General features: G+C 43.3%; 1 protein-coding gene across 24 annotated transcripts in view; it reads left to right on the forward strand.

Annotated features, from left to right (window-relative positions):
• The window catches only part of ABCA13 (ATP binding cassette subfamily A member 13), a 476,040-nt gene that overhangs the window by 220,927 nt on the left and 234,698 nt on the right, over positions 1-20,415 (forward strand). For 22 of the 24 annotated variants that reach the window (XR_926914.3, XR_926915.3, XR_926919.3 and 19 more), the window contains 3 exons: positions 11,299-11,495; positions 18,136-18,293; positions 19,969-20,199. Coding sequence is in view for 21 of the 24 variants with exons in the window: in XM_011515130.3 (XP_011513432.1) it covers positions 11,299-11,495; positions 18,136-18,293; positions 19,969-20,199 (586 nt within the window). In the remaining 3 variants the exon portion in view is untranslated. The other 2 variants (XM_011515144.3, XM_011515143.3) reach the window with 2 other exon arrangements.

The following is a 20,415-nucleotide window of genomic DNA, read 5'->3' on the forward strand; positions in this document are numbered from 1 at the left end:
TGTAAGCACAGAGGCTGTTGATGGAAACTTTGTGTATCTGGAGTAAAAGGTCCCTAGGGGTGTCCTGAAATGAAAAGAATTCAAAGGCAGCGGGAAAACTGGTTGTCAAGAAGCTGATTAGTCTGCCTTTTCTCTCCTTGATCCCTAGCTCTTCCTCAACTCCTTCCTTCCTTCCTGTCACACACACACACAAAGATTAAGAAAAAAAGAGCCTTATTAGTCATGCTAAGGAGTTTGAACTTCACTGAGCAAGTAGGTGTTCATGAGTGGGGGACTGTGATTAGCCTGAGATCTGGAAGATCTCTCCTGCTAGATCATAGCAGGTGCCATGGGAGAGACTAGATACAGAGTGGCCAGTGTAGGCAAGAGGTGGTGACAGCCTGATTTATGGTCATGCCACTGGGGTGCATGGGCCAGGAAGGCCTGTATTTGAAGACTATTCAAATTTAGAAGAATCAGGTCATGTTGACTAACTGGTTGCACAAGGCAGGGAGCAGAGAACTCCCGGTAGGGTCACAAACAATTGGTAGGACATTGGTTGGTCCACATGGGGGGCTGAACCCTATATGAAAGTGGAATAGCACAAGGAAGATCTAGAGTTGAGAATATGTGGGGAGAAGTGGAAAGGAAGTAGGGTATCCAGGATGGGAAGCAAGGCAAAATCCAGGCAGTGTGCCCTGGCTCATTGGACATTGATAGAAGTTTAGACCAGAGGTAAAAGGGAGAGACAGTAGGTTCCTGATTAGAGAACAAAGTGGTGTTTGAGGGTGATGACCATGGAAGCATGGATTGGAGGGGAAGTGGAGCAATGAAAGTCATGGAGAGTAGCTGGAGATAGAAACATTAATCCAGTGCTGGGGTCATCGATTCAGCAAACAGTGGTAGTTAAGTGTGCAGGCCGTCTGTCCTGTGCTGGGCTCTGCCCCCTCAGGAAGATGCATGGCTCTGGCCTCCTGGGGCTAGTGCTGCATGCTTGGCAATTCCAATGGATGGACTTTGCAAAGCAGAACGTCAACCATGGCGTGAGTGTGTGGGGAAGGGGCCCTTGGAGGCAAGCATGTAAGTATAACTGGTAATGGACTGCACATTCCTAAGAAGAAAATGTGAATGTCATGAATTCTTACAGAATATTGTTATTTTACAATATTTTTGCAAGCTTTACATTTATAAATAAGTATTTACAATCTGCATTTAATTAAGGTGAAAGCTCACAGGGTTTGGGTGTTGTTTTGTATGGTGTAACCTTATTTCTTTACCACTTTTTCCGCTATGTGCTTCATGATGGTGGAGCTCTACCTTGGTGTTTCTAGCCCTGGAACACTGAGAAAAAGAAGAATGAGTCTTAAAGTTGTCACACATTCCATGTGCCGTTGGCGATATGACCAGAGACCAAGTAAAACGTTTGCAATGAGAATGCTCCATTCCACCCTTCCTTTTACTTGGCCTCTCCAGGTGCCATTGCTTGCTTCTCCATCCCTGCCATTGCAGGTCACCCCTGCATCATGCCTCTGTAGAGATGCCAGGGCTGCAGCTGGCCTTCCTGCCTGCTGTCGGCTTCTTCTACCCTTTCCTCCAGCCCCTTTGGCTCACTTCTGCAAAGCTTATCTTGTCCCCAAACCCAACCCCCAGCTGTTCTCCCCAGATCATGGTCTAGCTTCCTGATGTCACGTGCTTTCAGTACTCCACATGGAGTGCTCCTTAGAAATGTACCCAGGTCCTGGCCCTTCTCTGCCAACTGCCCTTCAAGGACTCACATCACTTGAGGTATAATCTAAAGGTATGGAGGCCTACAATTGTGTAATTTACATTCTTGTGCCTATTGTCTCAGATTTATTATGAGTGCCCCCTTCCACCTCAAAACCCTCCTCCTTTGGAATATAAATTTATAAAGCCCTGCCAGCCTCTCTTGCTTTACCTGATCCTTCATTGTGTGGTGCCTGCTGCGCTGGTCTTATGGTGGATCCCTGAGCACACTGAACAGGCCCTTCGCTGCGTTCGTGTTGTGATGGGCTCCGTGTGTAGCCTGCCTCACTGCCGTCCTGGCTCTTCTCAGACACCATCTTACCAGAGCAGACTTCCTGAGCATTCTGTCCAGAACAACTTCCCACTCACTCTCCTGAGTCCCCTCTATTTCTCTGGCTCTTATTTACGACATTTATCATTTCATGACAGCCTCTGTGTATTAGTCTTCTGTTTCTTTCCACCAGATAGCAAACCCCTTGACTACAGGGACGTAGTCTGTTTGGTTCACTATAGTATAATAAGCATTCTTTGAGTTGAATAACTGGATTTTTTTTTCAATTTTTATTTTTATATTTTTTCCATAAGTTATTGGGGTACAGGTGGTATTTGGTTACATGAGTAAGTTCTTTAGTGGTGATTTGTGAGATTTTGGTGCACCCATCGCTTGAGCAGTATATACTGCACCATATTTGTTTTATTTTATCCCTCAACCCCCTTGAGTTCAGAAAGAAACCTCAGGTGCAAACAATGAAGCTGAATAAGCTCTACTGGGGGGTGTGTGAAGTGGGTGCAGGGGGTCAGCTGCCCTTGGTTGTATGGTGAAGGGTCATAGCAGAGGTAATGATTGAGCAGCAGGCTACAGGATGAGTAAGGATGAACTGGGGTTGACTGCAGTGGGTGGGCTGCAATATGTTACAGCATGTGCAGCTTAGAGCGTCCACAGGCCTCTCTCTTGCAGGCCTGTGCACAGGCACATTACAGAAGCTTCCTAAGCCTTGCAAGATTTTAGGTTTTGTTCCTTAGGCTGTCCATGGGCATGAGGCCTCTGGAGAGTGCTGAGCACCTGATACGATGGCCGTCTAATGATGGTTCACACACTCTCTCCAGTTGCAGGTGGAGGATGGGGTGGGCTGGGGTGAGCCCAAGTCGCAGGGAGAGCTGGGGGCTCCTGCACTAAGAACAGATTAGGCCAGGAGAGGTCCAGTAGGGTGAGGAGGAAAGGGAGATGCAGACCCAATGGGGAATAAGAGAGGAGGGGGCGTCCATGGTATTCCCCAGATGTCTGGCTCAGGCAAGCACAGTGTTTTTCAACATACAGTTGACTCTTGAACAACACAGGTTTGAACCCTGCAGGTCTTACTTATATTCAAATGTTTTCAATACAAGTAACACCCAGTGTGCCTACCTCTTCTGCTACCTTTCCTTCTCCTCTGCCTGACCTGCCTCAACCACCTTTGAGATAGCAAGACCAGCTCTCCCCTTCCTCCTCCTCCTCCTCAGCCTACTCAACGTGAAGATGACAAGGATAAAGACCTTTATGATGATCCACTTCTAGTTAGACAATAGTAAATATAGTTTCTCTTCTTTAAGCTTTTTTAAATAACATTTTTTTCCTCTAGCTTGCCTCATTGTAAGCATACAGCATGTAATGCATATAACATACAAAAGAGGTGTCAACTGACTGTTTACATTATTGGCAAGGCCTCCAGTCAACAGTAGAATATTAGTAGGTAAGCTTTTGGGGAGTTGAAAGTTATACACAGATTTTTGACTGTGTACAGTGTGGTGCTTTAAGTCCCTGCATTGTTCAAGGGTCAGCTGTGTGTATAGAGAGAGCCTATTTGAGAAGTTGGGGAGAGGAAAGTGATGAGTTTGTCTTAGAGATGTGAGTTGAAGGAGTCTGGAGGTTTCTGATGCTGAGGCCAGCTGTGGTGCTAGGCTCCCACCAGGGCACTGCCGGCCTGTGCTCCTGCCCATGCTGGTTTTCCTTATTTATTACCCTCCCCTCCACTGCTACCTCAGTTTCCTTGGTGTGCCCAAATCCTGAGATCCTTCAAGGACCAGATCCCCTCCCACCATGGCCTTGGGATGTTGTGCAGGCCATGTGGGCCAGGGCAGGAAAGAAGCCCCTTGTGGGCTCTCTCAGATGGCCAGAGGGGCCTTCTGCTTCCAGCCTCACCTCTGCAATGGCTACCTACATTGTATAAAGGAGGACTTTCATTTGTTTAACATCTTTTTTTTGTGCCAGCCGCTATGGTGGATATGTGCCAGGAACTTACATGAGTGATCTCATTCAAGTGTCTTTTCCCTGGGATATGGGCAGAGGCTCCAGGAGATGGTGCCATGCAGCTCGGAGAGGGAAGCCAGGATCTGACCTAGGACTCTCAGATGCAAAGTGCCTTCTGCTGCCTTTCTTTCAAGCTGGCCACTACGTTGTAGCATGTGGGCATGGTCTCTGCAAAGACAAAACCCACTAGGCGGAGAGAGGGCAGATTCTCTAGCACATTTCTAGTGTTGATGCCCTAATGGGAGTACGGACCCTCATTGGGGATTCCATGAGTCTGAGAAGTGAAGGTGATTTGTTAACAGTTGCTCTCCCTGGGGTTAGTGAATGCAGTAGCTTTAAAATGCACTCTCGGAACTTGGCAGGCAGGGCAGGTGTGTCACTAGCAACCCACAGTGGGGAACGTGTGGATGAAGGATCGCTGGTGCATTGTGGAACCTGCCTCTGGGGCATTTCTCTTGAAGGAATCTCACCCCAGTAAGGTCAGATTGCAAACACGGGATCCTAGAGGGGCTAAATGAGGCAGTATTATGAACATTCTTTTGGAGATACGAAACAAAACAAGATCACAAACACAGAATACGGTAGAGGCTTTTCTCTTTTCATAGTGTCTGTTTTTGTGTCCTTTTATATTTGAATTATTTTAAATTTGCTTACCTCTATCAGATTGATGGATTAGCTTCAGTTCTTGTGGGTTGAGCCCTGCTGGGAGTTTGCTGATTCTTGAGTGTGATGAGTGCACTGTGGCCTTGTATTGATCAATTCTTTGTAGTTTTGAATCGCAAAATTAGGAGACCTGGAGGACATGAGAATACAGCATATTGCTAGTTCCAGAGAAAATGGGGAAGGGGAACAGATACTCCAAGAGATATTGCCTGAGAATTTTGTAGAGTTGAAATGCATCAATCCTCAGTTTTAGGGAGCACAGCAAGTTCTGAACAAGATAAGCCAAATGAATGGTTTTTTTCTTACTGAATTCTTATACTGCAAATTGTAATTTGCAATATATACTCATTTCTTTCAAAGTGTCAAAAAACTCCTTATAATAAAAAAAATTAAAATTGTAAAAAAAAAAAAGAATATGGTAGAGGCACATATTACCCAGGGGTCAGGGTCTGAAAGGAGGGCACTGGGGAAAACCATGCTCACATTACCCCTGAAAATCTTTTAGTGGAGAGCAGCATTGGAAAATGACAAAGTGGCTCTCTAGAAATGCACCACTGCATTGCACAGTTTTATTTTTCCATACTTGGATGGGATCAGTATTTGTTTAGATGATCTCAAATTGAAATTCGTGCCTGTGTTTAGAGACCAGCTATACTATAAATGCATGTGTGGAAAAAGCCAAATCTCCTTCTGGATGGATGCTGACACTGTGAGGGCCATGTGCAAATTAAGCCTGAATTGATGGAAAAAGTCCTTGAGGGACCGAAGTCCATTGTTAAAGTGATGGATGATACTATACATTTTATTTAAATCATCCTTTCTTCTTTTGTCCCCCGCTCAGCATTCACATTATTGTCATAATCTCTACTGGAGGGCATTCTCTACTGGAAGGTGGCTGGTTCACATCTTGTGCTGTCTTCAGAGAATGGCTGGAAATAGTAATAATGTTAATGACAGTGGACACTTGGATATACATGGAAAATATTTAGTTTGTACTATTGAAAGCTGTCTTAAATTTGAGTGGGTACTTAACGAGAAATAGCTAGGTATCTTATGGACTATATATTATGAGATAGCAAATTGGCTATGTCCAACCTGATTTCTTTAAAACAAGTCATAGGTTACCTATTGTAATTTTTTAAAATGCATCTACCCTAGACCACAGTAAACTCTATTGTGATTGAGATTGGGAGCTTAAATCAAACACCTAACAATGCTACATTTGCTTCATCTTTTTTTGGGTGCCAGGCAACCTTAATGATTATCAGCGCACAGAGTGTTACCTAGCAACAAAGCCAATTTGCACAAAAGCAACCAGAATAAGATCATGTTTTAGGATGGTAGTCTTCAATTAGAGAAAGGGAAAACTGCAAACATCTGATTTAGATCCAACATGCTCCCTATTACTCTCCTGTATCACCGCTTGGTTTCCTTAATGTGTAGCTTCATTAAAATGTGACTTCAAGGGAGGTTGCATCCCTGCTAGAATCTTTAGAGTAAACATGTGTCAAGATTCAGATCATTACTGTTTTGCCCTTAATTTGGCCTAAAGAAGATAAGCATAGTCAAGAGAGGAACTTTGTTAGACCTTTAAGTCAGTGTGATGTTGTTATGTAGTTAACGTTACTACTTAGAGTTCTGGAGTTCACCATGCAACTCAGGTTGGAGGTACATTTGTTTGATAGTAATGAGATCATTGAGGGCATAAGTGAAGGAAGATTAGAAGAGGGGACAAAGCATTGATCCCTGGACACTCCAACATGGAGTGTATGGAGAGATGGGGAGAAAACAGCCAAGCAGGCAAGAAAGAGAAATCAGTAGCAAAGGTGGAAGACAAGGAAGTGAACCAAGTCCACTAATGGTGAGGGTGTGATCAGACCGTAAATGCTGTTGAGGGTCAAGTAAAATGAAGACTTAAAAAATGGCCTTTGGATTTAGTATGTGGAGGGCTCTAGTGACCTCTGGAAGAGCAATTTTAGTAGTGTGAAGGGAATGAAGGTCTTATTAGAGTCAGTTAAAGAAAGAGCGGAAGAAGAGAAATTGGCAGCAGCACATCTTAGGAGTTTTGCTGCAAAAAAAGCAAAGAAATATGATAGTGTCAAAAAGGAAAAGTGAGGTCAAGAGAAAAAATGCTCCTCTTCCATTCAAATAATTCAAAGACAGGAATCACAGCAGCATATCTGTACACAGATGAGAATGCCCCAGTAGAGAATGAATAATTGGATTGAGCTACAGAGCAGGTGGCTTGCTGGGACACTATTCTGTATGGGACAGGGGAAGGGATTTAGACAAGAGACAAGGGGTTGTCTCTCCTGAGAGCACAGCAGGCTCACTTACAATAGAAGGACCAAGAGCTGAGTCTGTGAGTACTTCCATTAGCTTCATTGTTTTTCAAGGTAGAGTGCATGCACAGAAGGGATTATAAAGTTAACTAGTCAGAAGAGGATGCATGGAATTGAGAGCCTGGAGAAGATGTGTTTGTTAGAAATTACAAGGTCTAGGATGTAACTTGGTTGTGAGTAAATGGGATTGGTGGAGTGAAGGGAGGATATGCTACAACAAATACTAATAAAATCTCTAAGAATAATGATAAGAGTAGAGCTGAAGAAAGAGACAGTGCACAAGAGCAGATTCAGGGATGGGTAGATGACAACAGCAATGACAACAACACCCAACAGTGGATGATATGCTCAGATGACCTGAGATTCAAGGCTGGGGGCTTCAGCAGAGGTGGGGAAGGTCACAGTGAGACAAAAGGAGACACCTGCCCCACATGGAGACCCAGTGAAGGAAAGAAACAGCAGTTATAGAACAGGATTTATGATGGGTATGTGTTCTGGCTCAAGCCTTTCTCTCCTGTCTTATCTGAGGTCATTGTATGGTTTTCCATGTATTTCAAGGACAGAATCTCTTTGTTCCTTGCATATGCTATTCTTTCTCCCCCAGGTCCTGGCAAGTGCTTTCCTCTTTTTTTTTTTTTTCTGGAACACACTGTTCAAGCATCCCCACTTCACTTACTCTCACTACCCATCTGACTGATTTCATATGCCACTGTCTCTGGAGTCAGAGGGAATCCCTATAGCTCCTGGGACTTTATCATTACCCTACTTACCTATACTCTTATTATAATTTCTTGCCTGTCTTTTCCACTAGACCTTGAATTTCTTGAATCAAGGATAAGATTTGATTTATTTCTCTAGCCCTAGCAGGTGGCAGGTGCCAGGCATTGTAGGGGTTCAGTAAACATTCCTTGAATAAATGAATGGATGATTAAAGAGCAGCATCTGAAACACATTCTCTGGTGCATAATTGGGTCATAATAGGAGAAAATATCTTTTCCTCCTTTCCCTGCTGCCTAGCAATGTTCTCAATTAGAGGATTATCCTGTCCTTTTGAGAAGGAATTTGGAAATGTAACTTTGAAAAAATTATTTGCTTCTTTTTGATATGTATAAGATCAATAACTAGAAAAACACTAGCCTCTAAATAACTTTAAAATTAAAAAAAATTCAACAGATTAAAAACTTCTGGCCAGTGTTTACAAATTGCTGTCTTCTTTAATTTTTAAGTCCACTCTAAGCATATGAACAATGCCCAGAAACCAGCAGAGTGGAAATGACTGGGCTTTGCAATGGGGTTCTCTTCCTGCTGCAATGATAGGTGTTCAGACATTGTTTTGCTGACCCTGGCCAATGCCTCAGTGGCTTAGAGTCCTAGGAATGTGTCATTCTGTACAAAATAAGTCAAGGACTTTTACTTCCATTGACCTTAGTGGATATTATATTCACTGATTAAAATGCCATGAGTGCTAATTATCTTCAGCCTCCATGCCTGGTTCTGGGAAAACAGACATAATAAGTAAAGGGGCTTGTTCTTGGGGAAGCCCCAGTCCATGTGGGGGGTGAGACACTTAACAGGTACATATGATACGTGTCACAGGGACCCAGTGGATGCCAGTGTGTATTCTGGCTTCAGAGTGCTAGTGGTTAAATGCAGTTCTTCCACTTAGAAAGCTTTTAACAATATATGCTATCTCTCTCTTGGGTTTTCCAAATACAATGTGGTTCTAATAATGAGAAGACCCTCATTTGGAGGTTATGTGGATTATAATAATTTATACACACAAAGCACTTAGACTAGTAGTACCCAGTGTATGATACATGTCTAATAAATGTTAAATATGATTATCTAGGCTTGGAGCTAACATTTAAAAAATAAAATAAAGTGACTGGGATTTCCTCTGTAGGAAAGCGTTTATGAAATGAATGAATGATATTCTTCAGAATTATAGATTCTACAGTATTGTGATGTGATAGAAAGTTCTACTTTAAGTTGGACCTCTCCAAGACCAATAACTCACCATCTCCTGTGAGCTTCCCATAGCATGTTGATTATACTTCATCTGTAACATTTATCTCATTGTGTCCTAATTGGATATATACACATGATTTATCTAGATAACTCTGATTTCCTGCAGAAGGACCTGTGCTTCGTTGCTCTTTGATGCCCCTACCTTTATACCCAATATGCAACCAGCACCTATGATGCTATAGACCATTTGTGCAATCTTGCAAGAATTTATAAAATACACATGAATGAAATACCCTCATCCTCACTTCCTCCACCCTATCATTATTACCTACTGCTCTTGGCTTCAAGAATTTTAAAACACACACACACACACACACACACACACACACTATGGGGAGCAAAATTGTCCATAAAATGTGTTTGTATATTGAAATTCAAAGTGCATCAGGAAAACAGGCCTCCACTAAAAACAGAAGTAAAAATACAGAGTGAACCAGATCGGTCAGTTTAATGCTAACCAGTTGCATAAGATATAATAGAGAGCAGGCCCCAGCTTCTTTGCATAAATTTGATTGTAGAAGCATGGTTGGTCCCTTTTGCTTACATCTTGTTTGACACCTGTGTAGTGAAGGTTCTGTGAAGGACTGCACAGGTGGGGACAAAGTGCAGGGGGCCAGAAGCGTTCCTGAAGTTCAATGCCAGGTGTATGAAGAGGAGGTAGGCTTCCAGCTTGCTTAGGGTGCACAATGAGGCAGCAGCGTGGGGCCACCCCAGAGGGTACCATAGACATCCCAAGTAGTACCAATGGAAGAAATGAAGAAGGAGGGGTTTGGGGTTGAACACAGAAAGGTAACCAGAACATGCACGTTTGAGAACATCTGACATCTTACTGACTTGTTTTCTTGTCTATTTGTCTTCTCTGCTGACTGATCTCTGGTTAATGTGCTAAGTTTAATAGATCGACCTCCTCTGCTAGATTGGAATCTCGCAGCTGGGAATGTGTTGGGAGATTGCAGGGCTAGGCAGTTACCTGGTGAAATGGAAACATTTGTCTTCCTCCTTCCAATAGGGTGTTGTCCACACTGGGAACACATGAAAAACAGGAGCATAAATTATTACTATAAATTTAGGTTGAGATTTAACCAGCAGAAAATGCACTATAAGACTTGGATGAAACATTAAGTGCACAGAGTGAACACTAAACCCTAAGAAGTGGGCTTGAACTCTTTCTAGTTCAGGATGGGAAGTATTTACATTAAATATTTACTTAGTCATCAGGCAGAAAATGGGATTCACCCAATTCTTTGCTTGGAATTCTGGAATGTTCCAGGCCCCAACTATTCTTGAAGCTCAACTGTCTGGAACATGTCAAATCCTCTTCTGCCTGTCTAGCCTTCTCTCTGGCTGCAAAATGGCACCATGACTTCAGCTGCTGGCTATCAGGAAGGTAGAAACATGCCTGCAGCTCCGAGGAGACACTCCACTTTGGTTTGAGTGGTCAAGGGAAGGTTTCAGGAAGGCATTGTTTAAACTGGGTTTGTAACAATGAGTAAGATGGTAAATAGGTGATGAGGGCAGTAAGTATTCCTGTAGAGTTAACAGGGCCACAGTGGTGAGGGAAGTTATTTGTGAGAAAAGAGAGTGGATCCCTGGAAGAGGGGTAAAGTTTCACATGGGGAAGGCTTTGCACTGGGTATCTGAGATCTGGAACTCCTAAGACTGAAAGATCCCTGCAACGGAACAGGACACTTGTTCTTACATTAATAGCAAATGATAATTTATACTTTGCACGTGGCATTTCACTGGAACATCTGCATTAATCAGGAAGGTCGGGTGATCCAGATTTAGTGGACAGTGGCCAGGGAGTGAAGGGCTTCTCTGCTGAGCAGTAGAGCTGGGCCTGCCTTGCTTCTTCTGACCACACTGGTACATCAGCCATTCCACCATACTCCATACCCTGTAGAGGGATGCAGGGCCCTCCCTGGCAGAAGGTATGAGTGAAATGAGAGACATGCTTCTCCAGAGAGGAGACAATGCAAGCATTTCCAAGCACAATTCTGGGCAGATATTGCTGGTCTGCATCACGGTTGGTGTCCCTTGGCGTGGTTCCATCTGAACCTGAAGAAAGTCAATGCTGCTCTGGTGAGACTCACGTGTGTGTAGCATCCACACCTCTGTGATATATTTGTGGTTTATAACGATTTCAGCCACTGTTAGTCATTATTTCTGGAGTGAAATTAGAAGCAAAGTTTTAAGGTGTTCAGGGAGAAGAGTGATGTTTTCTTCTAATTTCAGAACTCTTCAGGATGTGGACTTAACTCAGCATCAGCACAAACAGACCCGAGCTCTGTCTGGAGGCCTGAAGAGGAAGCTCTCCCTTGGCATTGCTTTCATGGGCATGTCGAGGACCGTGGTTCTGGATGAGCCCACCAGTGGGGTGGACCCTTGCTCCCGGCATAGCCTGTGGGACATTCTGCTCAAGTACCGAGAAGGTAGGCACTGGGCCTCATTCTGCCTTCTCTTCCCACAATATTGTGTTGCAGGAAATGCATTGCTACTGTACAGTAGAATCAAGTTGTATCCCAGTGAGGCTACATTATCCTTTTCAGAAAAATATAAATTTTTAAAAGCACTTATAGGGATATATTCGTTAGATAACATCTCTATAGTGCTTAGAATTGCTTACTTTGTGTTTGACCTTTTAACTCAATAACAGCAATGACATCTATGTACATTATACATTATCATACATGATTTCAAGGAAAATTGTCTTCTTCTGGAAGCATAGTTTCTTAGAAGAGGCATCCCAGATCATAGGACAAGCCTCCCTTGTCTCAGATGAAGAAATGAAGGCTCAGAGAGACGGGCATGTGATTTACTTGTAGCTACAGAGAAAGTTTCCTGAACTGAGGGTGGATGTTGAACCTCTTGTCCATGTTTCTCACATCTATTATTGTTTCTTTCCAATTTAGGACATTTGATGGGCAGTTACTAATTTCCAACTTCTGATTCTTTCTGCAATCCTGACAGCTAGGAAGCATTGTTCTATGTATTTTCTGTGAGAATACTCCCTTTTGGAAAGAAACATTGCAACAGTAAAACACATCTTGGTGCTGGTAAATAAGTGTAGAGGCATCAGTGGCAGGATTAATACAGATTCTCATAAAATGTTATTTTGCTTTTTCTTTTGCCTTTTGAGTATAAATTTTCTTCTGACTTAACCTAAAGTCTCCATTTCCCTGGAGGTGAACTAGGATTTGCAAAGGAAGAAATAAAGGAAAAATAACAAGAAAGAGTCCTTCTTTTTCTTAGCATATAGAGGGCTGAGGCCAGAAGTCTTGGACCATCAAATTCTATCTTTGGAGTAGAAAAGGTACTCCAGTCTGTCACTTAAAGCTTAACCATAGGCTGGAGTCAGAAAGGAGAAAAATAACAAAAGGGAGCATAGAAGATCAATCTGTTTCTTTCTGTCCCACAATTTTGTTGGAATTATGGAAGGAGAAGATAGATAGAAGTGGGAAAATTGAGCAAGCAGATGTGACTTTTTGTTCCACTCTGGGCTTTGGCCTGGCCTGGGCAATTGCACTAGAAAAGTGCAGGCCACATCTGCGGTGCTGGCTCCTCAATCATGGTGCAGCCACATCGGAGTTCACGAGGCTCAGCAGAAATCCAGGTCCCAGTGAGGCACTGAGGGCTGGTATTCCCTACCTTTTCATGCCCATGAACTTTGACATTGAAAGACAGGGCTTGCTAGGCATGCTGCCATGGAAGTAGGGGACCCCTTGGAGCTAGCTGGCTGGAAGCCAGGGCAGAGATTCAGCCGTCTGCAGTCAGCAGGACCTACTGTGAGGCCTAGACAGCCTGGGAGCACTCTGCTCTGGCCTGACCCCTTTGGAGTCCAAGCTACAAATGCCAAGGTGGGGAGGCAGGCAGTGCCATGTGGTTTTGGTTGACACCCAGACACCAGATGACCCTGACCACATTGCACCCAAAGATTCGAACCCTTCCCCGTTGCCACAAGATCAAGAAGACTCCTGACTCCATTTACCTAAGTGTCTCTTGGGGAAAGACATAGAAAGGGCAGACATGGGATACTGACCACCACTTCAAAAGATTGATTAAATTTTGAGATGCAACGATTTAAACTGGACGAAACAATTTGCGCACTACCCTGGCTGGGGACTGATGCGGAAGATCAATGGGAGATAGACAAATAGATAACATTGTCTCTGCACCTGTGAATTGTGGTGCAAATTAAATACCACAAGCCCACTACTCTTGTTTAGTTTAAAAATTAGAGCTGGAGTCTCAAAGGTTTAGCTGACAGAACATTTTTGTAATGAGCACAAAGGTTATTTTAGACAGAAAAATAGATACAATGAAAGTCTCAGAAACAGACAGTTTTCTTCAGTTTCTGTTGTTACAAACCAAATATTTTCTCACTGTCCTTCGTTGTTTAGCAATTTTTTTTGTCTTTGGAGGACTTTTTTGAAATCATCCCTGCACTGACTGAAGTGCAAAATCAATAGTATGTAAGCGATTAGATAGGCGGTATTGGAAGAAAAATGTGTTTTCAAGAATCAAAATGTATAGCCATTTCTGAAGCAGCCCAAACCTCTAGGTAATCATAGAGCTCTGTGAGACAGATCTAAGGACTGTGCAGAAACAAACACTTCCTTCTGAGAAGAAAGAGCTCTTCTGTCGGAATACCAGTGCAGTGGGGGCTCAGTCTACCTGGAATTTTGTGTGTGTTTCTTGCTTAGTTATGTACAGTGAGGGCTCTTGATCAGCCCTGGTACCAGTATTTCTGTGTCTCCCATGGAAAAATAAATAAGGAAGCAAAAAATACCGGTGAAAACTGGCACATCTCAACTAAATTTCTGTTCTGGGGTATGCACTTGCTCTACAAATCCCATGTGACCCTGCAGAAATGATCAAATGCTTCTGAGCTTCAGTGTTCTCATTTGCAAATAGAGACAATTGTACCATCTCATAGGATGTGAGAGGGCACAGTTGTATGTGAAAGTGCACAGTTCTGTATATACCATGTGTGCGCTCAATCAATGACAGGTTATCATTATTATTATTAAAATAGACAAGGGGCGAATGTGGGAAGCGCAGCTTTTGGAGGAACATATCATCTGAATCAGAGAGAGAAACAGTCAAACAGTGTCTTGGGGAAAACAGTAGCATTGCTCTTTGAGGCCGGGCATGGTGGCTCATGCCTATAATTCCAGCACTTTGGGAGGCCAAGATGGGTGGATCACTTGAACTCAGGAGTTCGAGACCATCCTGGCCAATATGATGAAACCCTGTCTCTACTAAAAATACAAAAATTAGCTGGGCATGGTGGCGCATGCCTGTAGTCCTAGCTACTTGGGAGGCTGAGGCAGGAGAATCACTTGAACCCGGGAGGCAGAGGTTGCAGTGAGTTGAGATCGTGCCACTGCACTCCAGCCTGGGTGACAGAGCAAGGCTCCATCTCAAAAAATAAATAAATAAATAAATAAAAATAAAATATATGTATATATATATATTGCTCTCTGAGGCTTTGGATGTGTCTTGAATTTCCTTAACAGCCACTAAAAAGTCATCAAGGGTCAAATGCCTGCAAACTTAATTGAAATTCTTTGGAAGTTTATTCATTTATTTATTTTCCCAGCTTCATTAAAGTATAATTGACAAATGAAAATTGTGTATTTGTGGTGTATAGAGTGATGTTTTGATACACTGTTGACTCCTTATATCCATGGGTTCTGCATCTATGGGTTCAAACAACCTCGGATCAAAAATATTCAGGGAAAGGCCTGGCACAGTGGCTTATGCCTGTAATACCAGCACTTTGGGCGGCCGAGAGAAGTGGATCACCTGAGGTCAGGAGTTCGAGACCAGCCTGACCAACATGGCAAAACCCTGTCTCTACTAAAAATACAAAAAAATTAACCAGGTGTGGTGGTGCATGCCTGTAGTCCCAGCTGCTTGGGAGGCTGAGACATGAGAATCACTTGAACCCAGGAGGTGGAGGTTGCAGTGAGCTGAGACTGTGCCACTGCACTCCAGCCTGGGTGACAAAGTGAGACTGTGTCAAAAAAAAAAAATTTTCAGGGAAAGAAAGCCAATAAGAAATAATAATACAGCAATAAAAATAATACAAATAAAAATAATAGAGTATAACAACTTTTTTTTTGAGATGGAGTCTTGCTCTGTCTCTTAGGCTGGAGCCCAATGGTGCAATCTCAGCTCACTGCAACCTCTGCCTCCTGGGCTCAAGCAATTCTCCTGCCTCAGCCTCCCAAGTAGCTGGGATTACAGGTGTGCACCACCAAGCCCAGCTAATTTTTATATTTTTTAGTAGAGATGGGGTTTCTGCATGTTGGCCAGGCTACTCTCTAACTCTTGACCTCGGGTGATCCACCACCTCGGCCTCCCAATATAACAACTATTTAAATGGTATGTACATTATATTATTAATAGGTATTATATGTAATCCAGAGATGATTTAAAGTATATGGGAGGATGTACTTAGGTTATGTGCAAATACTACCCCATTTTACATAGGGATTTTGGTATCTTCAGGGGTCTTAGAACCAATGCTCCACAGATACCAAGGGACAAATGTATGTATACATTGTGGAATGATTAAATCAAGCTAATTTACATGTGCATCACCTCACATATTTACCCTTTTGTTGTTGAGGGCACTTAAGATCTAATCTCAGCAATTTTCTGGTATATAATGCATTATTACTAACTGTAGTCACCATGCTGTACAATAGATCTCTAGAATTTGTTCATCTTGTGTCACTGAAACTTTGTATCCCTTAACTAACATCTCCCTCCTTCTCCTCCCTCCCTGCTCCCTGCCCCGCCAGCTCCTGGCAACAACCATTCTACTCTTTGCTTCTCTTTTGGGAATTTAGATTCTAGTTGACTTTTATTTTTAGACTTCATTGTATGGGAATGTATCATCTGAACTACATGATAGCTCTAGTCAGATGATCTAAACTGCCTTTAATCCTAGATCAGGGATTAAGCAAATTTTCTTAGCCTCAAAGGTCTAACATGCAAGGAGCTTGGCCTTGGGTGTGGGGACAGGGACATACATGTGCAAGAACTGGTCATTGTGGACCTTCAAGCTCTATTGCTTTTGTGTCTACGTTCCATAGTTTATTTGTAAATGCATCTTTTTTTTAATGTATTGAAAGTCTTAGTCTTTTAAGGTGTCTCCTCTATTATTGTTATTTTTTCTACTTGCATTTTGTTTTTAATTGACACATGATAATTGCATATGTTTATTGTTTTGATTTTTTTACTTACATTTTAAATTCAGGGGTACATGTGCAGGTTTGTTATGTAGGTAAACTTGTTTCTTAGGGGTTTGTTGTACAGATTATTGCATTGCTCCGGTATTAAGCCTAGTACCCATTCATTATTTTTCCTGATCCTCTCCCTCCCGGCTCCCTCCACCATCTGGTAGACCTCAGTGTGTGTTGTTCCCTCTATGTCTCCATGTGTTCTCATCACTTAACTCCCACTTGTAAGTGAGAACATGCGGTGTTTGGTTTTCTGTTCCTGCATTAGTTTGCTAAGCATGATGGCCTTGAGCTCCATCTACATTCCAATTATGGGTTACAGTGTGATGTTTTGACACATGAACACGTTGTGTAATGATCAAATCAGGGTAATTAGCATATTCACAACCTCAAACATTTACTTGAGTAGAGTTAAAGACATGTTTAGCCTTCTCTCTTTGAAAATTTACCTTTGGAACAAGAATCAGTCAATGAGTTTCTTTCTATTTAATAAAACGGAACAGGTTGAATGGGGCTCAGTGAAAGCCAATAGGGAGTGTCGAAGCTAAAAGCAGCAACATCTTTTTACATAACTGAATCAACTTCACCAAAATATCTTCTAGTTTCTTTGGCCTCTGCTCTGCTAAAGCTAAATCTGAGGCTTCTTCTTTACAAGCAAAAGTCGTAAAACTTGACAAGATGCTAGAATGCTTAGAGAAAACATTTGAATTTAATATTGGTTTCTGCCAAAGGAAGCCATGCCCACTGGGCTCACTGATGACTTTCCTGCCAGGAACACCCAAGTCCCCCTCCACCCTGGCTCCCTGTGTCCATCACCCACAACATACTCTCCTCTCTGTGGTTCATGGCTACTGTGAGCTTTTCCAGGAAGGCATTGCATGTTCTGATGCTGCTACTTGGAATAATGAATACATGTGGTTACATCATCCCTGATTCCAAAGGGTATCAATGTATACCATGGCCATTTCAGACCTCTTTTTTATCACTGATTTCTGCCTTAACTCAGTGCTATGATTTTCTTATTCAATTGCGCTTCCATAAAATATAGCCTTCTCCCTACATACATCTCCCTTGTCATCCAAAGAAGAATGAGGAGGGCCAGGCATGGAGGGTTCACACTTGTAATGCCAACACTTTGGGTGGCCGAGGTGGGTGGACCATCGGAGGTCAGAAGTTCAAGACCAGCCTGGCCAACATGATGAAATCCCATGTCTACTAAAAATACCAAAAAAAAAAAAAAAAAATTAGCCAGACATGGTGGCATGCGCCTGTAGTCCTAGCTACTCTGGAGGCTGAGGTGGGAGAATCGCTTGAACCCGGGAGGTGGAGTTTGCAGTGAGCCAAGTTGGTGCCACTGCACTCCAGCCTGGGAGACAGAGCAAGACTCCATCTCAAAAAAAAAAAAAAAAAAGGATGAGGAAGAGGACTTTAGTATCTGAGGAGAGAGATAACCACCCAGCTTTTTTTTTTTTAATTTATTCTCTCCGTTCATTCAGTGATCTGCTTCAAAGACAGAGAGAACAGGGGGCTGTGCACAAGCACTCTGTTTTGCCCCCCAGTTTCACTCTCCGTGCCTGGCAGAGCACCCACTTTTGTTCATGGGGGTGGGGATGGGAGATCCGTGGAAACTACTGTAGAGGAAAGAGTTTCAGGGCCTCGAATTGGCAAAGTGGCCAGGACGCATTTCAATTTTTTTCAGTTTGAAAATTGGTGAGGATCTTTAAATTGTGCCCTGGATCTACCATCCTGAGGAAAGGAGGGAAGGTCCTCCTGGGGCCTTTGTCCTCCTGGTGCTGATGCACCCTGTGCTTGGACCCAGGTCGTACGATCATCTTCACAACCCACCACCTGGATGAAGCTGAAGCGCTGAGTGACCGCGTGGCCGTCCTCCAGCATGGGAGGCTCAGGTGCTGCGGTCCTCCCTTCTGCCTGAAGGAGGCATATGGCCAGGGGCTCCGCCTGACACTCACGAGGCAGGTAAGGAGTGCAACCATTCTATCTCACTGAAGTCCCATTTCTGTCTGTGGCATAAGAAACAAGTGGTGACAGTTACATAGTAATAACGTCTCAGTGGAGGCCTTCTGTGCACAATGGCCCACATGCCAAAATAAGTGGCCCCAGGCCTGTGCAGGGAGCAAGCCTCTGGGAACCCAAGCATGCATTTTGACCGCCAGGAGAAAATACATGAGGAGTCAGAATTACCTGATAGATAACAGGAGCTGCTGTGAGTGTCAGGGCCAGGAAGTATATGACCTATGTATTCTAGAAATTCTTTTCTCTTTCTTTCTTTCTTTCTTTCTTTCTTTCTTTCTTTCTTTCTTTCTTTCTTTCTTTCTTTCTTTCTTTCTTTTTCTTTCTTTCTTTCTTTCTTTTTCTTTCTTTCTCTCCTTTCCTTTCCTTTCCTTTTCTTTTTCTTTCTCTCCTTTCCTTTCCTTTCCTTTCCTTTTCTTTCTCCCCTTCCCTTCTCTTTCTTTCTTTCTTTCTCTTTCTTTCCTTTTCTTTTCTTTCTCCCCTTCCCTTCTCTTTCTCTTTCTTTCTTTCTCTTTCTGTTTCTCTTTCCTTCCTTTCCTCCCTCCCTCCTCCTTCCTTCCTTCTTTTCTTTTCTTTTCTTTTCTTTTCTTTTCTTTCAATGGAGTCTTGCTCTGTTGCCCAGGCTGGAGTGCAGTGGTACAACCTCTGTTCACTGCAACCTCCCGTTCCAGGTTCAAGCAATTCTCCTGCCTCAGCCTCCCGAGTAGCTGGGACTACAGACACATGCCACCAGGCCCAGCTAATTTTTGTGTTTTTAGTAAAGATGGGGTTTTACCATGTTGGCCAGGCTGGTCTTGAACTCCTGACCTCAGGTGATCCACCAACCTCGGCCTCCCAAAGTGTTGGGATTACAGGCGTAAGCCACCATGCCCAGCCTAGAAATATTTTTTTGACAACGATATTACCCTCCTAGAGGCTAAAACTTTGCCAGAATACAAGAGAGTAGTGAGGGTATAGAGCAAGTGGAGTCTGGCCCGAGAGGCTGAACTTGGGTCACATCTGTAGTCATCATTGCCTGTGTCAACCGGGGGCAGGAAGTGGTGACTCTGGGGCTGGGATTCAGGGTGTGTGGGAAATCACCTCTCCACTCTTGATGACTGTATTTGACCCTTGGTGGCCCACGAAAAGTCTTCCCTCACCTCTGAGCCAAGGTTCCTGTTTGCTTCCTCTCTCATTCAGCGTGAATGTCATTATCCCCAGGTGGCTCCTTTCTTCTTTGGCTGAGAATTCTTGTCTCCCTTTTAAGACTCCTTCAACCCAGTTTTCTGCTGTTCAATGCTAGGCCCAGGATCTCTCTGTGACTCTCCCAGTGGACGGGGGGCACTTCATGAATACAAACCTCTGGAGGCTGGCCATGGCAGGCCCAGTAGCTAAGACGGGCATGTTGGGGGGCATGTGGGTGTGGCCTCACAAGGTTTATCACTGCAGATTTATATTTTTTAAAAAGAAAGAAAAAAATACGAGATGTCATTGAGATGCCTATTGCTTAAGTGTGATATTTCATTTAAGCTTTGAAATGGAGTTTTGAAATAATTTGCTTATGGATATACATGAAATCAATTGATGTATATATGGATTAACATTCCTTACTGGCTTCTTTTTTCCTTTTTTTTATGGATAGCCTTCTGTTCTGGAGGCCCATGATCTGAAAGACATGGCTTGTGTTACATCCCTGATAAAGATCTATATTCCACAAGCATTTCTCAAAGACAGCAGTGGAAGTGAGCTGACCTACACCATTCCAAAGGACACAGACAAGGCCTGCTTGAAAGGGCTCTTCCAGGCCCTGGATGAGAACCTGCATCAGCTGCACCTGACGGGCTATGGGATCTCAGACACCACCTTAGAAGAGGTACTGAGAAAACTGAAGCGTGCTTTAATTATTTATGCCTTTTTGACCAGTCCACATTAAATGAAGAGATGTGGGTAAAGGGGGGGAGATGTGGGTAAGGGGGAGGAGTGTGCACTTTTATTTACATTTGATTTCTGATTGGTAGCATACTAGATGCCAATAACTGAACTTAACAGGCCTGACAGGTGGCAATTGCCCTTTAAGTGAAATGGCATT

This window comes from Homo sapiens, chromosome 7 (assembly GCF_000001405.40).
Source record: "Homo sapiens chromosome 7, GRCh38.p14 Primary Assembly".
In the NCBI taxonomy this organism is placed as follows: domain Eukaryota; kingdom Metazoa; phylum Chordata; class Mammalia; order Primates; family Hominidae; genus Homo; species Homo sapiens.